The sequence below is a fragment of the Homo sapiens genome, chromosome 15 (genome assembly GCF_000001405.40).
Source record: "Homo sapiens chromosome 15, GRCh38.p14 Primary Assembly".
NCBI classification, from domain to species: Eukaryota; Metazoa; Chordata; class Mammalia; order Primates; family Hominidae; genus Homo; species Homo sapiens.
The window spans coordinates 25,910,423-25,936,092 of record NC_000015.10 but is presented as its reverse complement, the minus strand read 5'-3'; the positions used below and the strand labels follow the sequence as shown (position 1 = coordinate 25,936,092).

The 25,670-nt window shown below is 39.3% G+C and overlaps 1 long non-coding RNA gene and 1 pseudogene across 1 annotated transcript in view, besides 2 other annotated features; one reads left to right on the top strand and one right to left on the bottom strand.

Annotated features, from left to right (window-relative positions):
• The window catches only part of LINC02346 (long intergenic non-protein coding RNA 2346), a 150,761-nt gene that overhangs the window by 117,028 nt on the left and 8,063 nt on the right, over positions 1–25,670 (bottom strand). The window lies entirely within an intron of this gene.
• Positions 4,626–5,125: an enhancer, noted in NCBI's record as "NANOG-H3K4me1 hESC enhancer chr15:26176115-26176614 (GRCh37/hg19 assembly coordinates)". NCBI's record gives its function as "activates a minimal SCP1, AML or CMV promoter by ChIP-STARR-seq in primed H9 embryonic stem cells {active_cell/tissue: H9 hESC(primed)}" and the evidence as "EXISTENCE:reporter gene assay evidence [ECO:0000049][PMID:30033119]".
• Positions 5,126–5,627: an enhancer, noted in NCBI's record as "NANOG-H3K4me1 hESC enhancer chr15:26175613-26176114 (GRCh37/hg19 assembly coordinates)". NCBI's record gives its function as "activates a minimal SCP1, AML or CMV promoter by ChIP-STARR-seq in primed H9 embryonic stem cells {active_cell/tissue: H9 hESC(primed)}" and the evidence as "EXISTENCE:reporter gene assay evidence [ECO:0000049][PMID:30033119]".
• Positions 7,498–8,047, top strand: MRPS18CP5 (MRPS18C pseudogene 5; annotated as a pseudogene).

The window sequence follows — 25,670 nt, the reverse complement described above, 5'->3', positions numbered from 1 at the left end:
ACTGCAAACTCTGGCCTCAGATAAGAATATTGCTTTGGCAGGGGGTGTAATGTTATTAGAAATAAAGTTAATTAGGAAATGTTTGTGTCTAACCTATTGAATATATGAAATATAATTAATTTTCTGTATCAACTCTTAGAACTGTGAATTGAGTGGCAGGGATGAGGATGAGCTCACAGTAGGCTGGGTATGCACTTTGCCTTCTGGGATTCAAAGAAGTAGGTCCATGCTGTCAGGGCCCAAGCTTTGCTCTCCGTCTCTTGCTGCCCGGACATCTCTTTCCCCTGCTGTGTCCCTTGGACTGTCCTGGGACAGCATCCTCAAGCCCTCCCCGTCTTCCATTTCTGCTGTGCCTCATTAATCGCAAGGAAGCCCATTCACCTCCATGCAGCCAATCAGCACTTAGCCTTTCTTTCTTTCTTTCTTTCTTCCTTCCTTCCTTCCTTCCTTCCTTCCTTCCTTCCTTCCTTCCTTCCTTTCTTTCTTTCTTTCTTTCTTTCTTTCTTTCTTTCTTTCTTTCTTTCTTTTCTTTTTTTTTTTTTGAGACAGAGTCTCACTCTGTGGCCCAAGCTGGAGTGCAGTGGCATGATCTTGGCTCACTCCAACCTTTGCCACTGGGGCTCAAGCGATTCTCCTGCCTCAGCCTCTCAAGTAGTTGGGACTACAGGCACACGGCATCACACCTGGTTAATTTTTTTGTATTTTTAGTAGAGACAGGGTTTCACCCTGTTGCCCTGGGTGGTCTCGAACTCCTGAGGTCAGGAAATCCACCCGCCTCAGCCTCCCAAAGTGCCAGGATTACAGGCATGAGCCACCATGCCCGGCCCTCTTCTTAAATGCTTCTAGTGTTTGATGACTATTAGATTTTGGTGAATATTAGATTTTGACACATAGCATGCATGTTCTAACATCTCAGAACCATTTTTTTTGAATCAAAAACAAATTTAAAGGAAGGGATATGATATTTTTTCCAATAAAAACAGGAAAATGGACTTGGCAGTGGCTGCCTGCTAGGCAGTAAGTGATTGAAGAGTGACTTCATTTCAGAAACATAGCTGCTTTCATCTTTCAGTAAATGAGTCTAAGACCTTTCTCAGGGCACATGCATAAAATAAGGCTAGACATTTTTATAAAACTTACGTCTTTATTCAAACTACAGGAAAAGAATCCAAATGGAAAGCAAGGCAGTGTTCTTCAGGCTAAGGCTTTTTTTTTTTTTTTTTTTTTTTTGAGACGGAGTCTCGCTCCACTATTGCCCAGGCTGGAGTGAGTGCAGTGGTGTGATCTCGGCTTACTGCAAGCTCCGCCTCTCGGGTTCACGCCATTCTCCTGCCTCAGCCTCCCGAGTAGCTGGGACTACAGACCCCCTCCACCACACCCGGCTAATTTTGTTTTTCGTATTTTTTAGTAGAGACGGGGTTTCACCATGTTAGCCAGGATGGTCTCGATCTCCTGACCTCGTGATCCGCCCACCTTGGCCTCCCAAAGTGCTGGGATTACAGACATGAGCCGCCACACCTGGCCAGGCTAAGCCATTTTTATTGAGCATTTACCCCTAGAGGGAGTTCTACAACCCACTAAAGGCCAGGCCTGACTGCATCCTCCCAATTCCCTGTTGTCAAGAAACGCTGGGCCGGGTACAGTGGCTCACGCCTGTAATCCCAACACTTTCGGAGGCCGAGGCAGGCGGATCACTTGAGGTCAGGAGTTCAAGACCAACCTGGCCAATATGGTGAAACCCCTTCTCTACTAAAAACACAAAAATTAGCTGGGTGTGGTGGAGCATGCCTGTAATTCCAGCTACTCGGGAGCCTGACCGATGAGAATTGCTTGAACCTGGGCAGCAGAGGTTGCAGTGAGCTGAGATTGTGCCACTGGGCGACAAAGTGAGACTGCCTCAAAAAAAAAAAAAAAAAAGAAAGAAAGAAAAAGAAAAGAAACCCTGTAGCTAGCGATGTAAGTCGTGCGCCACTAGCTGGCACTGTCGCTCACAGCACACTGCAGGCCTCTGCACCTTTTGCCTCCCTGAGAAAGGCAAAGAAGAATCCCAGTTTACCACGGTGTCCTGTGCTGCTCAGCCTCCGAGTCGTGTCCCTCCCATCAGAGGCCTTCCACGGAGCTCAACCCCTCCCTAGGGCTTGGAGGACGGTGGCAACAGACGAATCTACATACGGGCCTGGCATGTGCGGGCTGGATCAGCTGGAGTTTGAAGGAGAGAATCCGATTCAAAAGAGAGCAGGGGAAGTGGTACCGAGAGAAGCAAGGCAGATGGCAGCGCAGAGTCTGAGAGCGGGAGGGGGCACTTTCAGCCTCAGGAGACGCTCCTGGCAGAGGGCTAGGGCCTGAGATGGGGCAGGGGGCGGGCAGAGAGTGGCTTCCTTCTTCCCTACTGTTTTCCTCCCTCCCTCCCTTCCTTTCTGCCCCCTCGGGGCAGCCAGTGCACAGAGCTCTGCCACCGTCCTTCAGGTAACACTTCACATTACCCTCTCCATGTGGCCTCAGTTAACACATGGTATGTAAAACAAGGAGTTGAGATGAGACCTCTACCGAATTATAGTCATACTCTGTCACAGTCCTCGTGGCACCTTTTCTTTGTAGAGTCGGAACAAGACCCAGAGTATATGGGATGATGAAACCTGAGCATCAGGGTGGCAGGAGCTGTCAGTTAGGAGTGAAGGCAGAGAGAGAGGGACAGACACCACCACCCACCCCACCGCAGTGCAGTCAGTGAAGGCAGGGGGATGGGCTGACTCAATGCATTCACCCAGTGAGTGGGTCGCTCTAAAATACTCATCATTGTTTTCCAGGGCAATATTAGCATTGGCAGCTTTTAAGAGCACCTGAGAATCTGCTCAGAGCATGTGTATCACTGCCTGACTCCTAAACCATGGGATGATTTAGGAGACGTGAGTGATGTGCCCAAGGGTGAGAGTTGAAGGAGAAGGGGGCGGAGACTGTGTATTCCCTGACATTCCCCATTCCCAGTCAGCTCGGGGATCATAAGCTTTGGTGACAGCCTGTGAGCGGTGCCCTGGGAGCCACATTTGCTTTCGCAGTACTATGCTTTGCTAATGTTTGGGAGGGGGACAGCTAACACGTCACACATGTGACAGCCCGGCTGTGCACCGGGACAATCCCCCTTCCAGGCCAGGAAACAAGTGGGTTCTATAAAGGACACTGAACACATTCCTCTGGAGTGGAGCAAGGTGCTTTTCAGTTTTGGCAGCCCAAGGACGAAAAAGCCCAACCACATCCTGCAGTGGAGGAGAGACGGAAAGTCAAATTTAGGGATTCACTCTCACTCCGCACAGGCATCCCCAAGACAAATGGACAATTGTAGTGTTATTTTAAGATTTAAAATTTTCCAGAGTTCTGAAACACCTTTGAGAACTTTCAAAGAAAGCTATTTCTGTCCTTTGAAGGTTAGGCCAACATTTACACTTCTACCTGAATTGTCCAGCTTCTGGCATAGTTAAGCACTTCCCAGCTTCTCCAGAGAAAGCTATGTTCATGATGAGAAAGTTCTTATTGTGCGGTGATGTGAGGTGACACTGCTGGGGGTGGGCAGAGCCCCAGAGAGACTGTTAGAGATCACATGTTTCCACAGGGGTCCTGAAGACGTGCAGAGGTGGAATAAGATCTCCCGTTGGGCTTCTCCCTCTCCACCGACACACTCTAAGCTCCTTGAGAAGGCCTAACATTGGTGTGGAAACCATATCTTCATACTTCTGTGGGTCACAGCCAAATTTATACATGAAAAAGACAAAAGATCATTTCTGTTTCTTTTATGAAATAGAGTAATTTTATACTTTTTCTGTTACCAAATTCAAATTCACTTAACTGTAGGAATTTTAAAATTTACAAAGTTAATCAGAAATGCACTCCAACCTCTTTTCTTCTAACTCTGCCTTAGAATTTCAGAGATAAGGATGTTCATCTTCAATCAGGGGATTGGCCCTTTCTTTCTACTGCTCCATTCTCATGTAGGAGTGATTCATACGCACAAAGGACTATGTTAGTGAAGGGAGGCTGATGCTCACATGAGGGTCACATGCTTCTATGCAGTTCACAGTTAAATATGAAACTGAATGTCAACAAGCAGTTTGGTACAACAATGGGATATCATTCAGACCATCCCTATAAATAGCTGGCATTTATTGAGCACTCACTATTGCCCCAGAGACTTTCTAAGTACTTTATATGTATTAATTATTTACTAATTGTACTCATAGGGTAGGGCTTCTCAACTTCAATAAGTTTGACACTTTGGGCTGTGTATTGTAGTGTGTTTAGCAGCACTCTTTCCTGGCCTCTTTCCACTAAATGCTAGTAAGATCCCCTCCCAAGTCATGAAACCAAAACTGTCTCCATACATTGCCAAATGTCCCCCGGGAGTTAAAACCACTATACCGTCACCCCCAGGTGAGAAACCACTGCCCTATGGCTGCTCCATGAAACATGAAATGGTTGGCAGAAAAGCAGGCCTGGAAAAGTTATTTGGACCTAAGCTATGAACTGGGAGAAATGTTCCTAATGTCTCTGAACACAATAGTTTATGTTGGGAAACCCTCCAGGGAAATTAAGGGGGCAAATTCTGCTTAAGAAAGAATTCTGGAAGTGACATCTGCAAGATGGCAGAATAGGAAGTGCCAGCCCTTGTTCCCCTCAGAAATACTGATTTAATAACCATCCATAGATAAAATTACTTTTCTGAGAGCTCTGGACTCCAAGCAAGAGTATTCAACACCTTGATGGGGCACAGAAATGAGAAAAGACACATTGAAAAGGGTAAGAATATTTTTACTTTACCAGCACCAAGCCTCCTCTAGGCCAGTAGAATGCAGCACCAAGACAGATCTCCTTGGCCCATAAGTTCTCCCATGGGGGAAAGAGAGCATGCAGTGAGCATCTGACTCTTCTGTAGCCTTTTGATTTACTGCCTGAGAGGCTCACTTCTGTTATGCCTCACCCAGAACACTGAGTGAATCAGAAAGGCTAGATTGCCTGGGGGCTGCTAAGAACAACAGAAATAGATGAGGGCTCTCAACAACCAACATGCAGACCTCAACGGCATGCTGGTGGCGCACAGCAGCAGGCCACCTGCCCATGGACCACAGCAGCAAGCCTGCTTACCCACTGACCCCAGCAGTTTTCCAGCCTATGGATCCCACCAGCCAGCCCACTCAGAATCTCTGGCCAGCCTGACTGGGAAGGGGTTTCCCTGCTGAAGCCAGCCTGTAAAGATTAAAAGAGATGACTCCTTCTTCAAAAGTACAGGCACCAGTGCAAAGCCATAAGGATCACAAAGAATCAGGAAAATACAACGATGCCAAAAGAACACAATAAAACCGATAACTGATCTTTTAAAAGATGGAGACCTAAGAACTGCCTGGAAAAGAATTCAAAATAAGTGTCTTAAATAATCTCAGTGAACTATTAAAGAACACAGAAAGAAAGCCACATGATATCGTGAAAACAATACATGAACAAAATGAGAACTTCAACAAAGACATAGAGATGATAAAAGAAAATAAATTTTGGAGCTGAAGGACACAATGACCGAACTGAAAAATTTCAGAGGAAACTTCAACAGCAGACTTGATCAGGTAGAAGAAGAGGCATCTGTGTGCACAAAGAGAGATCGTTTGAAATTATCCAGTCAGAGGAACAAAAAAAAAACAGAAATAATTTTTTAAAAGTAAAGAGAACTTAGGGAACTTATGAACATCATCAAACATACCAATATATGCTTTATGGGATTTCTACAAAGAGAAGAGGAAGAGAAAGTGGTAGAAAACTTATTTAAGGAAATAATGGTTGAAAACTTCCCACATCTGGGAAGGGAAATAGACATCCAGTTTTATGAAGCCCAGATAACCCCAATTACCCAATTAGAAGAGTAAAGAGAAAAAAGAATTTAAAAAAAGAGTGAACAGGGCCTACAAGAATTGTGGGGCGCCATCAAGTGAACTAATTTCCACATAATAGACATTCCCAAAGGAGACAAAAGAGAAAAGGCCTAGAAAGCATACTTAAATAAATAATGGATAAAATTTTCCCAAATCTGAAAAAAAAATGACACCATCCAGGTACAAGAAGCTCAGAAGTTACCAATAAAATTCAGCCCAAAGAGGAAATCCCAAAGGCACATTATAATCAAATTTAAAAAAATCAAAGACAAAGAAAGAATGTTTAAAGCAGCAAGATAAAAGAAACAAACCAAATGCAAGAGATACCCAATACAGCTTTCAGTGGATTTCTCAGCAGAAACCTTGCAGGCAAGGACAGAGTGGAATGCTGTATTTGATGTGCTAAAGGAAAAAACTACCAACCGAGCATACTGTGCCTAGCATAGCTATTCTTCAGATACTAAGGAAAGATAGACTTTCCCACACAAACAAAAGCAGAAGGAATTCATCATCACCAAATCTGTGTTACAAGAAATGCCCAAGGGAGTTCTTCAATTTGAAAGAAATGGTTGCTAACATGTAACAAGAAAATATCTAAGGGTATTAAACTCACTAATAAAAGAAAAAAAGACAAATTCAGAATATCCTAATACTGCAATTGGGGCAAGTAAATCACTTATTTCTTAAGTATGAAGACAGAAGACAAAACTATTAAACATGATGGTAACTACAACAATTGGTTAAAAGATAGGCAATATAAAAAGATGTAAATTGAAACATGAAAAAGTCAAGATGGGGCATATTAGTGGAGAGTTTATTTTTGTTACTTTTATTCTTTGCAGTCAAATTAAGTCATTATCAATTTAAAATAACCTGTTATAACTATAAGATGTTTTTTGTACACATGGTAAACACAAAGCAAAAACCTGTAATAGATATACTAAAAATAAGTGGCACAGAATCAAAACATACTACTAGAAAAAATCACTTAACCATGAAGGAAGACAGTAATAGAGGGAAAAAGAAGAAAAGGTCTAAAAAAAACCCAGAAAACAAATAAAGTGGTGGTAATAAACCCTTACCTATCAATAATAACCTTGAATATAAATGGATTAAATTATCCAGTTAAAAGACAAAGAATGACTGAATGGATAAAAAACAAGACCCATGGCCGGGCACAGTGGCTCATGCCTGTAATCCCAGCACTTTTGGAGGCCGAGGTGGGTGGATCACAAGGTCAGGAGTTTGAGATCAGCCTGGCCAACATGATGAAACCCCATCTCTACTAAAAACACAAAAATTAGCCAGGCATGGTGGCAAGCGTGTGTAATCCCAGCTACTCAGGAGCTGAGGCAGGAGAATCACTTGAACCCGGGAGGCAAAGGTTGCAGTGAGCGAAGATTGCGCCACTGCACTCCAGCCTGGGTGACAGAGTGAGACTTCATCTCAAACAAACAAACAACAACAAAAACAAGACCCAACTATATGCTATCTACAAGAAACTCATTTCACCTAAACCTATGTGATACAGCAAAAGCATCTCAAAGAGGGAAGCTCGGCAATAAATGCCTACATAAAAGGTAGAACCAGTGGAGGAATGTGGAACCATGGCCACTATAGTTGCTCTTTGCAGTGGTCTGGGGAGGAAGAAGTTGACACACCTTGTAATGGCTGCTGTTAGCCTTACACATCCCAGGACTCATATGGTGCTATGGAGAAGAGGTTGTTCACAATATAAACAGATATCCAGCAATGAGGACCTGCCCATTCCAATGGAAAATTCTTATAAAGAAGCCCTTAAGAAATGTATCTTGTGTGGAAAGCAGGTAGATTTTAAGAATGTACAGCGTCCCAGTTTATTTCTCCATTTGTTGGATGCATTTGTGGAAGGCACAAAACAGGTCTTTGTGGGAAGAAACAGAAAGAAATCACAAAAGCAATTAAGAGAGCTCAAATAATGGGGTTTCTGCCAGTTACATCCAAGGATGCTGCATATCTCAAGGACCCTAAAGTTTGTAACATCAGATATCAGGAGTAAATTATATCATGTTACCACCGATAAACTTATTTTACAGGTAAAAAAAAAAGGTAGAAAGACTTCAAATAACCCAATGACACACCTCAAGGAACTAGAAAAGCAAGAACAAAGCCAATGCAAAATAATTAGAAGGAAAAAATAATAAACATTAGAGCAGAAAAAAATTAAATTGAAACCAAAGAAAACCATATAAAAGATCATTGTTGTTTCGTTTTGCTTTGTGTTTTAGTTTAAAGAGAGTTTATTCAAGCACAAAGATTTAGCACTGTAACCCAGGACGTGCTTCCAAGTTGTCTTGGGGAGTGCTCCAGAGAACAAACGAGAGACTCAAGTTTTTAAAGAAAACAAAGGATGAATCAGGAGAGTTGGTGATTACCAAAGTTATTCATCAGCAATTCTCATTGGTTTACAAAATGACATTGGTATTAACCAATTGTCTATCCATTGTTCAACGATAGTGTGTATGGCATTGTATGGCTACTTGCTGTCAGTTAGTCTAAAGCCTACATAGCAGGCGACTTCAAGAGGTAATTATTTCACTCAAGGGGGAGTGAGACTTGACTGCTATTACAATTTAAATGCTTTTCTGAGCCTAATAATTTAAAGATTTATTTCTCATTTCCCCCTTTTGAGCAAAATCTTTATTTTTGAAATAACTGATCAAAATCTGAGTGTCAGAAAGCTCACTTCTGATAGTCCTGTCTCACACTGAGGAGGGAAGGAGGAGAAGTCTCAGTGAGGAATTTTTATTTTAAGAGCATTCAAAAGTAAAATTAGGATGGCATCACAGAGTGGCAAAGAATGAGACCTCAGTCAGATCATTGATTTATCACCTGTTGAATCATCTGTAGTATTTGGAAATGCCATCATTTTAGTTTTCTTGGAAGAAGTAATATATAAGGATTATAAGCAAAAAAGAGAATTTGTATGAAAGAATGAAAAAAACAAAAAGACGAGTTTCATTAGGAAGCCAACTGAAAACATCATGAAGAAAATTAAATCCAGGTTCTTCTTTCGAGATTTGTTGTAACCAAGAAATAATTCAGAGTTTAGTCCAAATTGTAGGAAAATAATAAAAACTCAGAAACAGTGGTCAGGGCTAGAATCTAATAAGAAATGTATATAATTTCCTGTGAAACAGTTTTTCTTTCTCTAGTTCCCCATTTTTTTACCAAAGGGAAATCTTAGTAGGACCAATTTACTTGTAAAATAAGTTTCCATATGACATTTGACCTGCTAATTTGTACAAAATGCAACAAGAATAGTGATTAGCCCTAAAGACAGCTTTGTAAGTTGGCTTTGCTGGAGCTTTTTCATAACAAATTTCAGATTAGACTTTCAAAGCCTCTTGAGGCTGCGAAGACAAGCCATGAATTCACCATTAGACTTTGCCTGTAATACTTATACAAATTGAGTGAATTCCTGTCTTCTCAAGGTCCCTAATTATCTTGAGGTTCCTGGGCCTGTCAGAATGTGATATTCTTTTCTTACTGTAAGGTCAGGAATCTTGTAAGAGAACCATGTAGATAATGTACCAGGCCAGTCTTTCTCCAAGTCTATTGGTCTTATAAAGTCAATTTCATTCCCTCAAAGCAGTTTGGTCATATCCAAAAATGTGTCATTCCAGTCATTATGTCAGGGAAAACAGATTCTTATTGAACTTATGAAAATATCTATATTGCCATAAAATAAGAACACTCAAATAATTCCCAAATTTTGGAGAAATCAGGTCAAGAGAAAGGCAAATGTTTTAATTTTGCTCACAAAACTCTACTTTACCCAATTGCTATAAGCTATAAATACCTCAAAAAGAAAAAAAAGTATTTGGCTCTGAAAACAAAATATAAAAAGAATCAGTAATGTTTCAACCAAAAAAGTCATAAAAAGCATTTCAGTCTTCTATCAGTTCAGTCCCATGTAATTAACTTTTGTTCTGCTTGATGTTGGGTTAGCAATCCTCATAAGCACATCAACTTTTTCTTATTACTATTATTATTATTATTATTATGATTTTGAGACAGAGTCTCGCTCTGTGGTCCAGGTTGGAGTACAATGGCGGAATCTCAGCTCACCTCAGCTCAATCTCCACCTCCTGGGCTCATGTAATTCTCCCACCTCAGCCTCCCAAGTAGCTGGGACTACAGGCATGGGACACCATGCTTGTCTAATTTTTCTACTTTTAGTAGAGACAGGGTTTTGCCATGTTGCCCAAGCTGTCTTGAACTCCTGGGCTCAAGTGATCCACCAGCCTTAGTCTCCCAAAGTGCTAGGATTACTGGCATGAGCCACACACCAGGCCCACATCAGCTTTTTAACTGAAGTCCTGAAAGTTTTTACCTATTCCAATGGTATTATCTTGAAAGTTATGAGAAATCTGTGTTCACAAGTACTTGTCAATATTCTTTCTATGAATTTCCTTTTGCTGACTTGTCAGGTTCTGAGTTCCCTTCACTGCAGCTTCAAGCAGAATGGCTTTGGTGTCCTACTCACAGTGCCAAAACTACATGGTCCAAGGGAAAGTGTCCCCTTTGCCTCCTGAAAGTTTACAAAGGCTACTGCAACCTTCAACAGGTTCAGCTGGACAAAAACAGCCCATGCCTGTACCAGGGTGCCAGCTGTCAGAGAAGCAGCAGAAGTCAAAGGAAGCCTGCTTCAGGTCCCATCTTGGTCACCCAAATGTCAATTTATGTTTACTGATTTATTATAAAGGATATTAAAAAGACACAGATGAAAGGGTGCATAAGCTAGGTCTGACGGAAGGGATTCAGAGCTTCCATGCCCTCCATGGGCATGCCACTCTCTGGGAACCTCTATGTGTTCAGTTCTCCAGAAACTCAAAAATTTGTTTTTTTTTTTTTGAAAAGATAAACAAAATCACCAAAGCTTTAGCTAAGTAAAAAAAAAAAAAAAAAGAGAGAGAGAAGAACCAAATAAATTAAAACAAAAATAAAAAGGAGACATTACTACTGATACCACAGAAACACAAAAGATCATTAAAGACTATTATGAACAACTATATGCCAACAAATTGGAAAACCTGAAAGAAATGAATACATTTCTGCACACATATAACTTACCAAGACTGAACCATGAAGAAACAGAAAACCTGAACAGACCAATAACAAGTAATGACATTGAAGTACTAATAAAAGGTCTCCCATTAAAAGAAAAAAAGTCCAGGAACTGACAACTTCAGTGCTGAATTCTACTAAACATTTAAAGAACTAGTACCAATACTACTCAAACAATTCCAAAAAATTGAAGAGAAGGGAATACTTCCAAAGTCCTTCTACAATGCCAGCATTACTGCAATACCAAATAAGGATACAACAAAAAAGATAACGACACAGCAAAAAGATAAGGATAAGGATACAACAAAAAACAAAACTACAGGCCAATATTCCTGATAAATATAGATACAAAAAATTCTCCGCAAAATACTGGCACACCAAATTCAACAACACATTAAAAAGAACATTTGTCATGATCAAGTGAGATTCATTCCAGGAATTCAAAGACGGTTCAACATACACAAATCAACGAACATGATATATCACATTAACAAAATGAAGAACAAAAGACATAATGATTGTTTAAATAAATGCTGAAAACATTTTATAAAATTTACATTGCTTCATGATTAAAACTCTCAACAAGCTGTATATAGAAGAAACATATCTCAACACAATAAAAGCCACATATGAAAAGTCTACAGCTAAAATCATACTGAATGGTGAAAAAGTTGAAAGCCTTTCCTCTGAAATCTATAACAAGACAAGAATGCCCACTTTCACTATTTTTATTCAATATAGTGCTGGAAGTCCTAGCTAGAGTAATTAGGCAAGAGAAGGACATAAAGGACATCCAATATCCTTAACAAGCATCAGTACAAAAATTCTCAACAAAATCCTGGCAAACGAAATCCAGCAGCAAATCAAAAAGCCTATGCACCATGATCCAGTAGGCCTCATCCCCAGGTTGCAAGTTGGTTCCACATATGCAAATTAATAAATGTGATTCATCACATAAACAGAACTAAGGATAAAAACCACATGATTTTCTCAATAGATGCAGAAAAGGCATTAAATAAAATTCAAAATCCAGGTGCAGTGGCTCACGCCTGTAATCCCAGCACTTTGGGAGGCTGAGGCAGGCAGATCACAAGGTCAGGAGATCGAGACCATCCTGGCTAACATGGTGAAACCCCCTCTCTACTAAAAAATACAAAAAATTAGCCAGGCTTGGTGGCAGGTGCCTGTAGTCCCAGCTACTCGGGAGGCTGAGGCAGGAGAATGGTGTGAACCCAGGAGACAGAGATTGCAGTGAGCCAAGATCATGCCACTGCACTCCAGCCTGGGTGACAGAATGAGAAACTGTCTCAAAAAAAAAAATTCAAAATCCATTTATGTTAAGAAGTCTCAATAAACTAGGTACTTAAGGAACATACTTCAAAATAGTAAGAGCAATCGATGCAAACCCACAGCCAACATCCTGCAAAATTGGCAAAAGCTAGAAGCATTCCCCTTGAAAACCAGCAGAAGACAAGGATACCCTCCTTCACTACTCCTATTCAACATAGTATTGGAAGTTCTGGCTAGGGCAATCAGGCAAGAGAAAGAAATAAAGGACATTCAAATAAAAATGAGAGGAAGTCAAGCTATCCCTGTTCAAAAATGACATGATCCTATATCTAGAAAACCTCAGCCTCAGCCCAAAAGCTTCTTAAGGTGATAAACAACTTAAGCAAAGTCTCAAGGAACAAAATGAATGTGTGAAAATCACTAGCATTTCTTTACCCTGACAACAGTCAAGCCAAAAGCTAGATCAGGAATGAACTCCCATTCACCACTGCCACCAAAACAATAAAATATCTAGGAATACAGCTACTAGGGAGGTGAAAGATCTCTACAATGAGAATTAGAAAACACTGCTCAAAGAAACCAGAGATGACACAAATGGGAAAACATTCCTTGCTCATGGATAGAAAGAATTAGTATCATGAAAACGGACATACTGCCCAAAGCAATTTATAGATTCCATGCTATTCCCACTAAACTACCACTGACATTCTTCACAGACCTAGAAAAAACTATGGTAAAATTCATATGGACCCAAAAAAGAGCCTGTATAGCCAAGGCAATTCTAAGCACAAAAAACAAAGCTCGTGGCATCACATTACCAGACTTCAAACTATACTACAGGGCTACAGTAACCAAAACAGCATGGTACTGGTACAAAAACAGACACATAGACCAATGGAACAGAATACACAACCAGAAATAAGACCACACACTTACAACCATCTGATTTTTTACAAACCTGACAAAAACAAGCAATGGGGAAAGGATTGCTTATTCAATAAATGGTGCTGGGATAACTAGCTAGCCATTTGCAGAAGATTGAAATTGGACCCCTTCATTATATCATATACAAAAATTAACTCAAGATGGATTAAAGACTTAAATGTAAAACCCCAAACTGTGAAAATCCTGGAAGATAACTTAGGCAATACCATTCAGAACACAGGCATGGGCAAAAATTTCATGACAAAGACACCAAAAGCAATTGCAACAAAAGCAAAAATTGACAAATGGGATCTAATTAAACTAAAAAGCTTCTCCACAGCAAAAGAAACTATCATCTGAGTAAGCAAACAACCTACAGAATGGGAGACAATTTTTGCCCACTATGCACTGACAAAGGCCTAATATCCAATGTCTATAAGGAACTTAAACAAATTTACAAGAAAAAAACAAACAACCCCATAAAAAAAAGTGGGCAAAGGACATAAACAGACATTTTTCAAAATAAAGCATACATGCAGCCAACAATCATATTAAAAAAATACTGAAAATCACTGGTCATTAGAGAAATACAAATCAAAACCACAATGAGATACCATCTACAATTAAAAAGTTAAAAAAATAACAGATGCTGGTGAGGTTGTGGAGAAAAAGGAATGCTTATACACTCTTAGTGGGAGTGTAAATTAGTTTGGCTATTGTGGAGGACAGTGTGGTGATTCCTCAAAGACCTAAATACAGAAATGCCATTCGACCCAACAATCCCATTACTGGGTATATACCCAAAGGGATATAAGTCATTTTATTATAAAAACACATGCATATGTATGTTCACTGTAGTACTATTCACGATAATGTAGACATGGAATCAACCTAAATGCCCAAGAATGATATTCTGGGTAAAGAAAATGTGGTAACTATACCCCATGGAATATTGTGCAGCCATAAAAAAAAAAGAATGAGATCATGTCCTTGGCAGGGACATAGATTGGAGCTGGAGGCCATTATTCTTAGCAAACTAACACAGGAACAGAAAACCAAATACTGCATTTTCTCACTTATAAGTGGGAGCTAAATGATGAGAACACATGGACACATAGTGGGAAACAACACACAGTGGGGCCTTTTGGAGGGTGGGTGGGAGGAGGGGGAAGATCAAGAAAAACAACTAATGTGTACTAAGTTTAATATTTGGGTGATTGTTGGGGAACAGGCCCCCAAATCTGGCCATAAACTGGCCCCAAAACTGGCCATAAACAAAATCTCTCCAGCACTGTGACATGTTCGCATGTTCAGCATGATGGCCATGATGGCCACGGTGAAGGTTGTGGGTTTACCAGAATGAGGGCAAGGAACACCTGGTCCACCCAGGGCAGAAAACCACTTAAAGGTGTTCCTAAGCCACAAACAATAGCATGAGCGATCTGTGCCTTAAGGACATGCTCCTACTTCAGATAACTAGCCAGAGCCCATCCCTTTGTTTCAGCCCATCCCTTGGTTTCCCATAAGGAATACTTTTAGTAAATCTATAATCTATAGAAACGATGCTTATCACTGGCTTGCTGTCAATAAATATGTGGGTAAATCTCTGTTCAAGGTTCTCAGCTCTGAAGGCTGTGAGACCCCTGATTTCCCACTCCACATGCTATATTTCTGTGTGTGTGTCTTTAATACCTCTAGCACCACTGGGTTAGGGTCTCCACGACCAAGCTGGTCTCTGGTCTCGGCAGGTAATGAAATAATCTGTACAACAAACCCCCATGACATGTTTACCTATGTAACAAACCTGCACTTGCATCCCTGAACTTAAAATAAAAGTTAAAAAAAAAAAGGAAATAAAGGGCATCCAAATTGGAAAGGAAGAAGTCAAACTGTCCTTGTTCACAGGTGACATGATCCTGTATTTAGAAAAACCTAAAAACTCCCCCAAAAAACAACTGGAAATGATAAATGAATTCAGTAAAAGTGGCAGTATACAAAATCAACACACAAAAATCAGTAACAGATTTATACAAGAAGAGTGAACAAAATGAAAAAGAAATCAGGAAAACAATTCCATTTACAATAGCTACAAAAAATACCTAGAAATACATTTAACCAAAGGAGTGAAAATCTCTACAACAAAAACTATAAAACACTGATGAAAAAAATTAAAGAGGATATAAACACATATGTGAAAAGATATCCCATGCTCACAGATTGGAAGAATTAATATTGTTAAAATGTTCATACTACCCAAAGTGATCTACAGATTCAATGCAATATCTATGAAAATACAAATGGCATTTTATATTATTTTTTTCTGACACAGGGTCTTGCTCTGTCACCCAGGCCGGAATGCAGTGCCACGATCACAGCTCACTATAGCCTCAACCTCCCAGACTCAAGCAATCTTCCCACTCAGCCTCCCAAGTAGCTAGGACTGCAGGCAGGTGTCACCACACCCAGCTATTTTTGAAAATTTTTTGTAGAAACAGGGATTTCACTGTGTTGCCGAGGCTGGTCTCCAACTCCTGGCCTCAAGCAATCCTCCTGCCCGAGCCTCTCAAACTGCAGTGATCACAGGTGTGAGCCACTGCCCCCAGCCAGCATTCTTTAAGAAATAGAAAAAACAATCCTACAATTTGTGTAGACCCACAAAACACCTTGAATAACCAAAGCAATCCTGACCAGAAACAACAAATCTGGAATCACTATCTGACTTCAAAATATACTACAAAGCTATAGTAACCAAAATAGCATGGTACTGGCACAAAAAACAGACACATAGACAATGGCATTGCAGAGAGAATCCAGAAATAAATTCACACATTTACAACAAACTCATTTTCAACAAAGACACCAAGAGCATGCATTGGGAAAAGGATAGTGTCTTCAGTAAACAGTGCGGGGAAAACTGGATAGCCACATGCAGAGTAATGGAACTAGAACCCTATCTCTTACCACATACAAAAATCAAATCAAATCAAAATGGATTAAAAACTTAAATCTAAGACATGAAACTATAGATCTACTGAAACAAAGCATGGAAAAAGGATTCGGAACATTTGTCTGGGCAAAGATTTTTTTGGTAAGACCTCACAAGAGCAAGCAACACAAGTGAAAATAGGATGGGTGTAGTGGCTCGTGCCTATAATCCTAGCACTTTGGAAGGCCAAGGTGGGCAAATTTCTTGAACCTAGGAGTTTGAGACCAGCCTAGGTGACATGGTGAAACCCCTTCTCAACAAAAAAAAAATATATAAAAATTAGCTGGGTGTGGGGCATGTGTTTATAGTCCCAGCTGCTCAGGAGACTGAGGTGGGAGGATTAGTTGAGCCCAGGAGGTTGAGGCTGCAGTGAGTTGTGATCACACCACTGCACTCCAGCTTGGGCAACAGAGTGAGACCCTGTCTCAGAAAAAAGAAAAGTAAAAATAGACAAATGGGATTATATCAAGCTAAAATTTCTGCACAGCAAAGAAAACAACCAACAGAGAGAAAAGATAACCTACAGAATGGGAGAAAATATGTGTAAACTATCCATCTGCCAAAGGATTAATAACCAGAATATTAAGGAACTCAACTTAATAGTGAAATTAAAATAATCTGATTTAAAAATGGGCAAATGATCTGAATACATATTTCACAAAAGAAGACAAATAATCAATGTGTATATGGAAAAAATGTTCAACATCACTAATCATCAGGGAAATACAACTCAAAGCCAAAATGAGACACCATCCCACCCTAGTTTAAATGGCTATTATCAAAAAGAAAAAAAATAGCAAATGTTAGCAAAGGGGCAGAGGAAGGGAAATGCTAGCACGCTGTTGGTGAGAATGTAAATTAGTACAGACACTAGGAAAACCATGTGACGGTTCCTCAAAAAGTGAATCCAGCAATCTCACTGCTGGGTATACCTCTACAAGAAAGGAAATTCATATATCAAAGAGATATCTGCACTCTTGTGTTTATTGCAGCAGCATTCACAATAGCCAAGTTATGAAATCAACCTACGTGTCAATCAATGGATGAATGAATAAATAAAATGTGGCTTATACACAAGTGGAATTCTATTCACCTTTAAAAACAAGGAAATTCTGTCATTTGCAGTAACATAGATAGAACTGGAGGACATTATGTTAACTGATATAAGCAAGGCACAGAAAGACAAACATCACATGTTCTCAGTCACATATAGGAGCTAAAAACATTGAGCTCATGAAGGTAGAGAGTAGAATGATGATTACCAGAGGGTGAGAAGGAGAAGGGGAAGGAAGCAATTTTTAAAAGTCTGGTTAATGGGTACAAAATTCAATTACAACCAGGCGCAGTGTATATTGCCTGTAATCCCAGCACTCTGGGAGGCTGAAGTGGGAGAATTTCTGAGCCCAGGAGTTTGAGACCAGCATAGGCAATATAGCAAGACCTCGTCTCTGCAAAAAATAAAACTAAAAAGCTAGCCAGGCATGGTGTTACATGCCTGTAATCCTAGCTACTTGGAAGGCTGAGGCAGGAGGCAGGAAGGAGGATTGTTTGAGCCCAGGAGCTTAAGGCTGCAGTGAGCAATGATCATAATACTGCACTCACAGCCTGGGCAACAGAGTGAGACCCTGTCTCTAAAAAAAAGAAAAAATCAGTGGAGGGAGGTAGAAATTTTAAAAAGTAAAAATAGAAATTCAATTACATAGAAGGAAAAAGTTCTAGTGATCCATAGCACAGGAGGCTGACTAGAGTTCACAATTTTTTTTTTTAAGACGGAGTCTCACTCTGTTGCCAGCCTGGAGTGCAGTGGCACGATCTCGGCTCACTGCAACCTCTTCCTCCTGGGTTCAAGCGATTTTCTTGCCTCACCCTTCTGAGTATCTGTGATTACAGGCACACACCACCATACCCAGCTAATTTTTGTATTTTTTAGTAGAGACGGGGTTTCACCATGTTGGCCAGGATGGTCTCGATCTCTTGACCTCGTGATCCTCCCGCCTAGGCCTCCCAAAGTCCTGGGATTACAGGCATGAGCCACCAAGCCCAGCCCACAATAATTTATTGTACATTTTGAAACAGCTAGAAGAGAAGATCTGGAGTATTCTCAACACAGAGAAAGAATAAATGTTTGAGGTGATAGATATCCTATTACCCTCATTTGATCATTATACATTGCATGTATGTATCAAAATATCACATATAACCCTTAATTATGTATAATTATTATGTATAAATGAAAAACAAGAAAAATTTAGAAAATATCTCAAGACAAATGAAAACAAAAACACAACATATTAAAACTTATGGAATAAACCAAAAGCAATATGAAGAGGGAAGTTTATGGCAATAAATGTCTATAAAGCAATAAAAAAGAAGAAATATCTCAAATAAACAACCCAGCTTTACATTCAAGGAATTTGAAAAAGAAGAGCAAACTAAGCCCAAAGTTAGCAAAAGGAAGCAAACAATAAAGATGAAAACAGAAACAAATAAAATAGAGAATAGAAAAATACCAGACAAAAATTTAAAAGACTATGATTTGTTTTTTTAAAAAGATAAACAGAATCAACAAATCCTTGGCTAGACTAAGAAAAAAATAGAGAAGACTGAATAATATCAGAAAGAGGAGACATAAAAACTGATACCACAGAAATAAAAAGGGATCATAAGAGACTACTATGAACTGTTATATGCCAACCAATTTGATAACCTAGAAGAAAAGGATAAATTCCTAGGGACATAAAACCTAAGAAGACTGATATCAAGAAGAAATGGAAAGCCTGAACAGACCCATAGCAAACAAGGAGATTGAATCAGTAATAATAATAATTTGGAAAACCTTCCAACAAAGAAAAGCCCAGGACAAGACGGCTTCACAAATAAATTTTACCGAACAGTCAAAGAAGAACTAACCTCAATTCTTATTAAACTCCTTTTAAAAAAATGTAAGAAAAGGGAACACACTCAAATGCATTTTATGAGGCAAGCATCACCATGATTCCAGTGCAGACAAAGACAACACAAGAAAACAAAACTACAGGTCAATAGCATGTGAACATTGATGCAAAAAGTCTTCAACAAAATGTTGCCAAACTGAATTTAACTACATATTAAAAGGATCATACACCATAACCAAGTGAGATTTATCCCTGGGAGAAAAGGATGGCTCAACATATTCACATCAATCAATGTAATGTTGATTATTGACAAAATGAATGATAAAAATCACATGATTGTCTAAATAGATGCAGAAAAAACACTTTAAAAAATTCAACATTTTTCATGATATAAACCCTCAACAAATTAGGTATGGAAGGAACTTATCTCAACACAATAAAAGTTAGTTATGAAAAGTCTATAGCTAACATTATACTCAATGGTGAAATACTGAAAATTTTTCCAGTAAAATCTGGACCAGGCAAGGATGCCCACTCTTGCCACTCCTCTTAAACATAGTACAGAGAATTCCTAGCCAGAGCATTTAGGCAAATAAATAAATAAACGGCATCCAAATTTGAAAGGCAGAAGTAAAATTATCTCTGTTTGCAGATGGCATGACCTTATATGTGGAAAACCCTAATGATTACACACACACACACACACACACACGCACACACAGAAAAACTGTTGCAACCAATAAAGAAATTCAGTATACTTGAGAATATAAAATCAACATATAAAAATTAAGGCTAGGCACTATGGCTCATATCTGTAATCCCAGCATTTTGGGAGGCTGAGGTGGGCAGATAGCTTGAGTGCAGTTGTTTGAGACCAGCCTGGACTACATGACAAAACCTCATCTCTACAAAAAATACAAAAATTAGCTGGGTGTGGTGGCATCCACCTGTAGTCCCAACTACTTGGGAGGCTGAGGTGGGAGAATTGCTTGAGCCCAAGAGGTCGAGGCTGCAGTGAGCCATGATTGCACGATTATACTTTAGCCTTGGTGACAGAGTAAGACTCTGCCTCAAAAAAAAAAAAAATGCAATAGAGATGCAGAAAAAAAAATAGTTGCATTTCTATACACTAACAACAAACTATTCAGAAGGAAAATTGTATTAGTTTGTTCTCACACTGTTAATAAAGACATACCCAAGACTTGGTATTTTATCAACGAAAGAGGTTTAACTGACTTACAGTTCCACATGGCTGAGGAGACCTCAGGAAACTTACAATTATGGTGGAAGCCACCTCTTCCCAGGACAGCAGGAAGAGAGAATGAGTGCCGAACACAGGAGAAAGCCCCTTATAAAACCATCAAGTCTTGTGAGAACTCACTCACTAACATGAGAACAGCATGGGGGGAATCTGCCCCCATGATTCAATTACCTCCCACCAGGCCCCTCCCAAAACATGTGGGGATTATGGAATTACAATTCAAGATGAGATTTGGGTGGGGACACAAAGCCAAACCAGATTGGAAATTAAAGAAATGATCCTATTTGCAATAGCATTAAACAATAAGAATAAATTTAATCAAAGGGCTGAAAAACATGTACGCTAAAAACTATAAAACACTGATTAAAGAAATTAAAGCAGACGCAAATAAATGGAAATACACTTCATGTTCATAGACTGAATGATTAATACTGTTAAAATGTCCATATTACACAAAACTATCTCTATATTTAATACAATCTTTGTTTTTTTTTGTTTTTGTTTTCGTTTCTGTTTTTTTTTTGAGACAGAGTCTCACTCTGTCGCCCAGGCTGGAGTGCAGTGGTATGATATCGGCTCACTGCAACCTCCGCCTCCTGGGTTCAAACAATTCTTGTGCCTCAGCCTCCCAAGAAGCTGGGATTACAGTCATGTGCCACCATGCTTGGATATTTTATTGTTGTTGTTGTATTTTTAGCCGAGACAGAGCTTCATCATGTTGGCCAGGCTGATCTCGAACCCCTGGGCTCAAGTGATTCACCCACCTCAGCCTCTCAAAGTGCTGAATTACAGTCATAAGCCACTGCAATCAACCTGAAATCTTTATTAAAATCCCAATGTATGTTTTACAGAAATAGGAAAGGTAATTCTAAAATCATATGAATCATAAGCAAAGCAATTTAGAGCAAGAAGAACAAAACTGGAAATATCACATTACTTAATTTCAAAATATATTACAAAGCTGCAGTAATGAAAACAATATGGTACTAGGTTATAAAAAGAGATACAGACTAATGGAATAGAATAGAGAGTGCCAGAATAAATCCAGGCATGTACAGTCAACTGATCTTCCACAAGGATATAAGAATATACAATGGGGAAGTTGTAGGCTTTTCAACAAATGGTGTTGGAAAGACTGGTTACTCACATGAGAAAGAATGGAACTGGATTCTTATCTCATAATATACACAAAAATCAACTCAAAATAAACATTTAAATGTAAGATCTGAAACAGTAAAACTAGTGGAAGAAAACATAGGGTTTTAAAAAGCTTCTTGACATTGGCCTTGGCAATGATGTCTTGGATATGGCCACCAAAGCACAGGCAACAAAATCAAAAATGGACAAGTGAGATTACATCAAACTAAAAAACTTCTGCATAGCAAAGGAAACAACAAAATGGAAAGACAACCTACATAGTGAGAGAAAGTATTGCAAACCATGTATCTGATAAAGGGTTAGTGTCCAAAATACATAAGGAACTCCTACAACTTATTAGCAAAAATAAATAGATAAATAAATAACCCAATTAGAAAATGGGCAAAGAAATTGAGTAGACATTTCTCCAAAGACATACAAATGACTAACATATTGATGAAGATGTGTTCAACATAATAATCATCAAGGAAACGCAAATCAAAACCACAATGAGATCGCACCTATGAGGATGGCTACTATTAGAAAAACAAAAGATAAGTGTTGGTGAAAATGTGGGGAAGAGAGAATGCTTTTACATTGTTGATGGGAGTGTAAATTGGTGCAACCACTATGGAAAACAGTATGGAGGTTCCTCAAAAAATTAAAAGTAGAACTACTATGATTCTAAGTATATATCCAAATAAATTGAAAGCAGGATTTGGAAGAAGAAGGAAGGAACAGTAACCTGTTCATTGCAGCATTATCCATAATATTAAAAACATGGAAGCAACCTAAATGCTAAATGTCTGTAGACAGATGAAAGGGTGAAGAAAATGTGTGTGTGTGTGTGTAGTATGTATATATATATATATATATATATATATATATATACACACACAGTGTGTGTATACATATAGTGTATATATAAACATTGAATACCATATATATGGTGTTTAATATTTCGTCATATAATACACCATATATATGGTGTTTAATGTTTATATATATATATAGAGTGTGTGTGTATGTGTGTGTGTGTGTGTGTGTGTATGGTGAAATATTACTTAGCCTTTAAAAAGAAAGAATTTTTTCCTTATTGACAACATGGATCAACCCGGAAGACATTAAGCTAAGTGAAGTAAGCCAGACACCAAAGGACAAATTTACATGATACCACTTATACATGGAATCTAAAATAGCCGAAGTCATAGAAGCAGAGAGTAGCACGGTAGTTGCCAGGGGCTAGGGAGAGAAGAAAATGGGGAGATATGGGTCAAAGGGTACAAAATTTTGGTTGTGCGTGATGAATAAATCTTCCAGATCTACTATTCAGTAGTATATATTATACATAGTATAGTGTCTATGGTTAACAATAACATATTGTATACTTAAAAATTTACTAAGTGGGGCTGGGGGTGGTGGCCCATGCCTGTAATCCCCGCACTTTGTGAGGCCACGTGGGGAGGATGGCTTGAGCCCAGGAGTTGGAGACCAGCCTGGACAACATGGCAAAACTCTGTCTCTACAAAAAATAAAAAAGTAACCAGGCATGGTGGCAAACACCTTTGGTTCCAGCTTCTCAGAAGACTGAGGTGGGAGGAATTGCTTGAGCCTGAGAGGTTAAGGCTGCAGTGAGCCATATTCACGCCTCTGCACTCCAGCCTAGGCAGCAGAGAAAGACCCTGTCTCCAAAAAAAAAGAGAAAATTTACTAAGTGGGTAGATCTTATGTTAAGTGCTCTTATCACAAATAGTAATAATAATAATTAATAAACAGGGCAGGAGGAAACTTTTGGAGTTGGTAAATATGTTTATGGCATAAATTGTCATGATGATTTCATAGGTACATAATTATCTCCAAATTCATCAAGTTGTGTACAGTAAATTTGTACAGCTCTTTGTTTATCAGTCATACTTCTGTAAAGTGGCTTTTTAAAAGCAGAGAGAGAATTCTGATAGCCAACCATGGGATGGGAAAGAAGGGAGAGACAAGAGATGGAGGCACCAATGAAGGTGCTCATCTGTCTACAGATGCATGACGCAGCCTACATCTGTGGGCTGAGCATGTCCTTAAGCAAACCTGGTTCATGTACCAGTCTGCACAGGTGTAATTTCACAACAGAATCACTGCAGCCATGTCAGCTACAGGAATGAAACAGAGGCACTTCACCTTTTGTACTCTGCATGGGTAAAGCCTCTTCTGTGTTAATTTTGGTTGTCACATGTTAAAGGACATCAGCAAATCAGAACATTCAAGACAGCGAGAATACCCATCACTATGTCATAGAGGAGATGACTGAAAGAACTAGGCACATCCAGTCTGAAACAAAGAAAATGTCGTTAAATGATGGGAAAGGGTCTAGTGTGTATTACACTGCTGGTGCCTTATAAATATTCGTGAATTTTAGGAAAAAATAAAAGAGGGAACAGGACAGCTGCTTTCATACAGCTGAAGGACTTTCATAGAAAAGCAAATTAATACTAATGGTTAGATGGTGCTGGGATTCACAGATTGAGAGAGCTATTAACCTAGATGATTCTGAGATTCTCTGATTCCATCCAATCTCCCCAGAGTCCCCAGGGAATCAGCCTTACCTGGAGAATTGTGTTGGCTTTGAAGACTATGTTTAAAAAGGAATATTCACAAGCTGGAACAGGTCCAGAAAAGAGCATCATCTTATAACCAGCATTATTATATTCAGTTACATTTTAGCAGGTTGATAAGGTGCACTTTCTTCTTTCCTCCTTAAAAATAACATTTAATGCTTTACTTGATTATAAAAGTATTCATATCCTTTTAAGAATATTTAGAAGCAGTCTTGGCTGGGCGTGGTGGCTCAGGCCTGTAATCCCAGCACTTGGGGAGGCCGAGGTGGGCAGATCACAATGTCAGGAGATCGAGACCATCCTGGCCAACATAGCGAAACCCCATCTCTACTAAAAATACAAAAATTAGCCTGGCGTGGTGGTAGGTGCCTGTAATCCCAGCTACTCAGGAGGCAGAGGCAGGAGAATCCTGGTGACAGAGTGAGACTCCGTCTCAAAAAAAAGAAAGAAAAAATATTTAGAAGCAGTCTCACCATCCCAAAACAACAATTTTTAATATTTTAATATTCTAGTATATTGCCTTCTAAGTTTTTCTATGCACACAGGCAGATTTCTACTTTCGAATATAATAGAAAGAATAATACAAATCCCTAATCAAATCTTGCCTTTCAGACGCAACCTTCACAGTTTACTTCTGGCATTATGGACATCATCACTAATTCTGAATCTTTTCTCAACAATTGAGCTCACAGGTATGACTGCAGCTGACAGCCCACTTCAGATGTCCAACTTCATATTGTCACTGCCTTTGTGAGAATGACAAATCTTGCCACAGCACTTTCATAGTTCCATTCCCCTCTCCCTTTTATAAAATAATGACAAGATGTAATAGAAATATTCAGACAATTGCCCAAGCACAGCAATGATGCAGGTGCCAAAATTAAAACTTTGGCCAGCAAGCAGTTTCCTGGTAAGATTCCTCAAAATGCTGATCAGTTGATGTATAAAGTGCTCAATCAGCATGTGAAAGACAGATTGGGAGAATGAGTGCAAGTCAAACAGAACAAAATCAAGATCTCAATCTCTTTCGTCTCTAAGTGAAATGCATGTTGTGATTCAGGTTTTAGATCCCACTCTGTGCATATAACGTATTTCTGCCGCGTCATTAAACTTTCCTTGAACAGATTGGAAATGGTGTATAATGTCCACCCGATGAATTTACCTTAATAAATTTAACTATTCTCCTTTCATTAATACTTATGCTACGGGCAATTTTTATCATAAAAATTATCCTAAACTTAATATCCTTGTAGAGAAATTTTAATGTGCATTATTTTTGTAGGCAAAATGCTTAGAAGTAAAATATGACTTTAAAGGGTAAGCATTTGAATGATTCTTGATCCGTTTTGCCAAATTGCTCTCAAGAATGTGATCCTTTAATGATTACAGTCACACCAACAGGACGGAAAGCTACTGTTTTATCCTTCCTGCAAACTTTTTTTGTTTTTTTGTTTTTTTGAGTCTGAGTCTCGCTCTGTCGCCCAGGCTGGAGTGCAGTGGCGCGATCTCGGCTCACTGCAAGCTCCACCTCCCAGGTTCAAGCAGTTCTTCTGC